A 7,176-nucleotide genomic window follows, 5' to 3' on the forward strand; every position below is an offset into this window, starting at 1 on the left:
GTCTCTTCTGATATCTCAAAACCTGCCTGGAAGGGATGCCTGAGCCAGTCTGCCCTATATACTTTGTACATAGCTGAAAGAAGTGCAGAGTTTTTTGCTTATCTGGGAAAATTTGTTTTTATTCTATTTACCAAGCTGACACCACATTCAGAAATAATGAAGATCATATAACTCCATTTTGAAGATGTTACAGTTTAAAATATGAAGGCTTGAACTACTAGAGTTTTATAAACCTTTGTGTCCAATATGAAAAGTATGCATAAGTGGTAAAATTTGCTCTCATGTTGTTTAATTTCTTTGCTTTCAACTTGTATTGAAAACATATTTATGGAGCATCTAGTAAGTGCTAGCATTGGGCTGGTACTAGGAACAGAACCATGAAAGATGCTTCCTGCTTTCAAAGAATTTGCAGTCTGGTATGACCAAGAAAAATACAGAAAAGAAAATAAGTCACTTGCAAGTAACTAGGCATTATTCATGTTGAGCACATCATGATATGTGAGCACATATAAGGGACTCTGGCTTGGAGGATCTAGGAAGGATTTTTTTTTTTTTTTTTTTAAGATGCAAGATGTAATTTGGAAGTTGAGACCTGAGAATGACTAGGACCTAGGTGAAGGAAGCAGGGAGAGCAAATACCTTTTTTACAGAGGGAACAATCTAAGCAAGGAGTCAAGGTCGAGATAAATCTTGGTTACGTTTAGGGTGACCTCAAGTTGCTCTTCATGGCTATAGCATAGAGTGCAAACGAGAAATAGCAAGAGACGGGACTGAAGAAGTAAGCAGCAGATAGCTTGGGAAGGTACAGGCAACAATAATAGCAAATACTTCTCTAGTGATTATTGGAGCCAGGATTTATGCACAATAATGCATTTATAAAAGCTGTCTAAGGTCTCTATCATTGTAGAGACCAGGTAGTTGAGAAAGTGCACTGAGGTTAAACAACTTTTCTAAAGTTGCACCAGTGACTAGTCAGGCTGGTAAGGAGAGAGATGTCAACTGCTCTGTCCACAGGATGCAGGCTCTGTGCACTACCAAACAGCCTCTCCAGGACCAAGCAATCTGAAGATTCAGATTGTGTCCTGAGCACAGCAGTGACACGTGCTTCCTTCCAGCTCTGCTGATGTGCATTCCACTTCCCAGAATGCACTCTGGGTATCTTTGCCTAAACTTTTAGAACTCTTTTGCCCCATTCTACTGCCTTGAATTGGTAATGCTTGGGGGAAGAAAGGAAGAAAGAGAAGGAGGAAGAGGGGGAGGAGGGAAAAGCTAGTCTGAGGAATCAGCCCCTAGAGTGGTGAATATGGCTCTGGCAGTAGGTAAAGGAGAGCTATAAGGCACAGTGACTCAGGAGTGCATACGGGTCATATACACTAGATGAAGGTGGGCTTTGAAAGATGGAGAGGCAGACACTTGGATAACTTATGCAATAACAATACAAGCTGATAGTTATTCTAGTAGGGGAAGTGAGAATTACTTTGGCAGAACATAGCAGAAGCATATCAATTATTTTAGGCCACAGTTTTTTTTGTTGTTGTCGTTGTTAAAATAATGTACACTGGCTTAAAAAGCATTATAGTTTAATGAGAGAGGAAGGGCAAAAACCAATGAAAATATGAGAATAAATATCAAATAGGCACACAAACAATAGTAGTGATGAGGTGCTGGAACAACTTGAATGAAAAAAGCTATAGGTGCGATGAAGGACTTCCTTGGGAATTAAGGGCATGGTGTTCTGCTCGATTTGGTGGTTTCATGTTTTATTGAAGCTTTGATCTTCCTTCCACATTCCTGCTCTAGGGCTCTCCTTGTTTATGACTTTTGCTCCTATGCTCCTATTTGCAAAGCCCCAAAGGTTGCCCAGGGTTAGGGGAAGATGAGTCTTCCAGGTACCAATAGCCCTGCACCTTAAGAATCTTGGAGAAAGTAGGATATAAGCAATGATATGGAAGAGCAAATGGTGAGAGAAGAGGGAGCAAAGCATTGCGAGTGGAAGGATAGGCTGCTTGTTGTAGTCCTAGAGAAGCCACAAGGAGGAAGTGTGGCTTCCTATTCCAAGTGTGCAGAGAGCAGTACCCAGCTTATATGCTCTGAGGGCCTATGAGATGCCACACTCTGAACTACACATTTTATACATATTCTCTCATTCTCTTCTCTCAGTCACCCAGTGAATCAAGTACTATGATTATCCTCTTTTTACAGATGCAGAAATTGAGGCTGAGGGGGTGACTAATAAGTAATTTTCCAAAACCACATAGCTGGTAACTGGTAGAGAATGTTTTAAACATCAAACTTTGCTCAACTCCAGATCCCATTTTTAGAGCCATCCTGCTAGATAGACGAGCCTCCCTAGGACAGAGAAACAACAATTGTTCTAATATAAACAAACAGAAGGCATGTTTCAATCTACATGGCTCAGGATTGATTCTGGTAAGTTCTGCTTGAGGCACAGAACACAGAGGTAAATCAAGCCCTTCTTAGTAGATTGGAAGGCTGAGGCACAAAAGGCTCCGCCTGTATCATAAAGAAAATGAGCAGCCAAGTCAGTATAGGGTTTTGCTCACTTATGAGGTAGATTATTTAATTCTCTTGCATATGCTGCAGAATTAAGTTTCTGTCCACTTGATTGTTTTTGGTCTCAGAAAAAAGTTGTTTATGAATGACAACTACAGAACACAACTTGTGAATAATAAGGTGAGAGGATTCTTCTTCTGGTTGTTCTATTCCATTGCTGAAGGATTTCAGATTAATTGCGATAGAGCACACTGAATAATGCAGATTAGTGGCTGCATTGCTTACGGGGAAATACTTTCACTGGATCCTTTGAAAAGTAGATTTTAAACAATGTCCTTAAGGATTCAACTCCCAACTTTAAAAAATGCATTTTAATAATACCGTTTTGGAAGGTCAAATATGGTGTGTTCTCACTTATAAGTCGGAGCTAAACAATGAGTACATGCTGAAAAACAGAGGGGAATACTAGACATTGGCGATTCCAGAAAGGGGGAGGGTAGGAGGAAGTTGAGGGTTGAACAAGTATCTATTGGGTACAATGTTCACTGTTCAGGTGATCGGCACACGAACAGCCAGGACTTTACCACCATGCAATATATCCATGTAACAAAATTGCAATTGTACCACCGTTTTTTTCATCACCAGTATTAGCCACATAAATGGCTTTCACTGATGGCTGAACATTTAAGTGTCTTGGCCGGGTGTGTGGCTCACACCTGTAATCCCAGCACTTTGGGAGTCCGACGTGGGTGGATCACCTGAGGTCAGGTGACCAGCCTCGCCAACATGGCAAAACCACGTCTCTACTAAAAATACAAAAATTAGCCGAGCCTGGTAGTGGGCACCCTGTAATCCCAGCTACTAAGGAGGCTGAGGCAGGAGAATCACTTGAACCCAGGAGGTCGAGGTTGCAGTGAGCTGAGATCGCACCACTGCACTCCAGCCTGGGCAATGGAGCAAGACTCAGTCTCAAAACAAACAAACAAACAAACAAAAACAAAAACAAAGAAAATTTAAGTGTTGTATTTACCCACAAGCCTGGTGCAGTAAAATCTAAATCTGGCCCTGAAGATCTGCTGCAAGATGTTTGAGACTGACTGAGGCACCTCTAAAGACCATATTTTAATTGTAGCTAAGAACATGGCTCATTGCCATTGCTTTAAAAATCTCCAGGAATACTGTACCTCTGATAACTTTTCATTCTTGTCTCCCATCTCATTAAGGTTTTCTGGCACTGACTGTACCTTGGCTTTATTATGTCTGCCAAGAGGCAGGCAGGAGAGGTGAAACTCATCTATAAAGGCTAACCACTTTTATTCCTAGTAAATATGTTACATTCCTTCTACAACTAGCATGTGAAAAATAACATTGTGATTTTAGGGTAAAATAACGAGTAAAGAGATTAAATACATTAACAGAAGGTGAATGAATATAAGTAGTTAAAAATTAGCAGTCTGTTTCATCAGTCAACTCCTGCTAGTTCAGAATTCCACTATCTGGAGAGATTTAATATTTGAGAAGTGAAAGCTCTGTTTTCTTCCTATTTCATGGGAATTGCTATCACTTGGAATTGCCTTTTTTGTACCTTACTTTCTCTTCCCAGGCTAAGATTTAGGTGGTAGGAAGAAGAGCAATAGTTTTAGAGGTGCTTTGATCATTTACATGTCATCTCCCTAGGCTGTGTGTTATTCAGACGGACTATGCAGATCCTTGACGTTTTCTTCTGTTATGTTGTCTTGTTATTTCATTTTTATTTCACCTACTAATACACCTGGGACAAAGACTCCCGCAGAAACAGGCAATTTTTGCAATAGAGTAACAATTTATCAAAACTCTTGGTCAGATTAGCTCATCAAATTCCCTCAGACTCATCTCCCACACCTCTTAGAGGATTTTTTTTTCCCCAAAAGATTCTTTTCCCTTTCTCTGAATTTGTGTTTCACCCCTGATAGCTGTATGACCTTGGGCAAGACATTTAATTTGCTAAGGCAAATTTTCCTTGTCTCTAAAATGAGGACATTACTTGCTATCTGCCTGAAGACTTTGAGATTTGAATGAGATAGGATATGTGGAGCTCTCTGTGAACTGTGGAGCCTACTGAAAGGGCTTATAAAGCATTAATGAACGCCTATACTACTCTCTAATGTATGTACTTCTTCAAATTTTGAAGTCCCACAATCTGATGTCTCGAAAAGCTTTCCATCATCTCTGTAATGCACTTCACAACTAAACACTTGTCCTTGGCATACCAGTTAGTCTGGCGCCTTCCTGCCTTGCTGAGAAGTAGAAGTGGGTCTCTTTAGCCTGTTGGTGGCTGAAGGCAATCTTCAGGGAAAATCACTTGCTCTTTCTAAAGTCAAAGGTCATTCAGTTTTGAATTTCTAGTCCTTATGCTATTCATGGATTACAGACATAAGTATTAAGCATAAGCACACACTAGTATAAGCCTCAGTAGGCAATGTGAGAGATGAAGGGGAAGGAAATTGAGACATTGATTTTCCCAGCTCTCTTTGAAGGGGGGCCACAGACTGATTGTGTCTCTCCACTGCAGGTCTCTTTTCTTATTAGGTGTCCCGGTAATGCACCTACCTCGGTCTTCAGGGCTACTAGTGGCTATAGCCTGCCCCACTGTTAGTAGCACCAAAATATTGCACTGCCGAGAGGAGCAATGAAACAGTCGCTTCCTAAACAGTCCCTTACTAAGCATCTCCTAATTACTCATCTGTTTCCTGTTGGGGCCCTTACTGATTTAAGCAATAAACAAGATATGAAAGACTTTGCTCATATGGAGCTTAGATTCTACAGGGGAAAGAGATGATTAACAATTAAACAAAAATAAGAAAGATAGGAATAGAGAAATTATCTTTGTGAAAAAAATTAAAGTTTATTTGATAGAAAGAAACTAGGGTGTTGGGTGGGGTGCAGCATTAGAGAGGATAGCAGAGAAAACATTTTAAAGGAGGTGATATTTGAGGCCTGACTGCCAAAATGAAGAGGGAAAATAATGTGCAGGTGGAAGATAATCACTGGCACAAAGGTCCTGAGGTAGGAATGAGAAAGAACAAAGACACAGAAGGCCGGGATGGCTGGACACAGTGAGTTCAGGGCATAAGAACAGGAAGTAAGGAGCACATGAAAGGGACCAAGTGTCACAATGGCCAGCCTAGCACTAGTGAAGACAGCCCTGGTGGAGATCTGGTTAGTCATGTACATGCACCAAGATTGCTTCGTTATATATACCAGATTTTTCTCCCTCCCTACCTAGAGACTCCAGAAAGACAATGGATCAGTAATAATTTCCTTCTTACTGGAAAAAAAAGCTGTATTTAAAAAAATTTCATTGTGTTTTTTGAAAGTGTAAGTCAAACATCCCCTCACCTCCAAATTATCTTTTTAAAAATATGCCTTGAGTTTCTCTCTTCCAGCCTGCCACTTTCCATCTCTGTGCTTGTCATCCACACATCTAGACCTGGGAATGTTTTATGCCATTGCAAAACTCTCTTCCAGAAAGCCAGTCATGCTTGCAGCTCATTACTTCTCAGACAGATCTTCCCTTGTGTTTTTTCCACCTTAAAAAATGTAGAACCACTGCCTTTGATATGATTGCCAAGATCAGACCTCTCACTGCAGGTTTCCAACCCTTAAAAAACTTTCTTATCTCACAGCCGGCTTTGTTCTTGACCTCTTTAGCCACTTGGCAGTGCACTACCTTTTTTTACAGTGCTACTGGGAACCCCCAGCACAGCAACCAAGTCTGAGCTGCTGAGTTTGCAATGGAACCTCCTACCCCATACCGATAATCAGAGAAATGGAAAAGGCTTGCGTTTGGGAAAAAAGTTTTGAACCATATTCTTCTAAAAGCAACTTACAACATTAAAACTAGAGACCACATAATACACATTTGAGTTTCTCTTTATATCAAGGTTTTTAAAAAGGCAAGGGATCTTTTTGATGATTGGATCACTATTTAGAGACTACGGTTCTATTTCATTAGTATATTTAGCTCTTTAGTTTAAGAGTGTCTTGCAAGACACAGTTATATTGGGTCATCCAATATTTAGAACAAAAGAAACTTGTTAAAATGCTGGAATTTCAGAATGGAACAGTTTTTTTTGCGGGGAGACGACTTGCCCAAAGTGGGATACTGAGTGAGTGAGGGGAGATCTTGGAACTTTTCACATTCATTCTAGGTTAGTAGCCTTGGCTTCTTATTGAAATGCTATGGACATTAACAGATGTTGAACATTCACAATTATGTTCATACCAGAGAGGAACGCAGGGGACTTGTCGCGGAAGTAAACACTCAGGGGACTGTTGTATCTTTTAGTTTGGTAACTTCAGACTGAACTGGCTTTAGCATTACTACATAATAACCACTAGATGGCAGGAGTGAACAACATAAAATACAAAATGTAGCCTCTAATGGTAAAAAACTAGTTTTTCTGTTTCTCCTTTCCTTTCCCCAGTCTTCCCACTTCTTAGAAGTGCTTATCTTCTCTCATTCTACCACGTCTCTTCTCTCAGTTCCACACTGTATTTGTGTTTTTAGTTATAATTTTAAATAACTCTATCTGATTCTTCAGAATTGGATCGGAAAACCCGTCACACATACTTGAAATTTGAATACTAAAAATGCACAAAGTACTTTCTCGAATTCAAGAG

General features: G+C 40.2%; 1 annotated feature.

Annotated features, from left to right (window-relative positions):
• Positions 6,778-6,847: an enhancer, noted in NCBI's record as "active region_27815". NCBI's record gives its function as "activates an Ori minimal core promoter by ATAC-STARR-seq in GM12878 lymphoblastoid cells {active_cell/tissue: GM12878}" and the evidence as "EXISTENCE:reporter gene assay evidence [ECO:0000049][PMID:35858748]".

The sequence above is a fragment of the Homo sapiens genome, chromosome 8, assembly GCF_000001405.40.
Source record: "Homo sapiens chromosome 8, GRCh38.p14 Primary Assembly".
Lineage (NCBI taxonomy): Eukaryota > Metazoa > Chordata > Mammalia > Primates > Hominidae > Homo > Homo sapiens.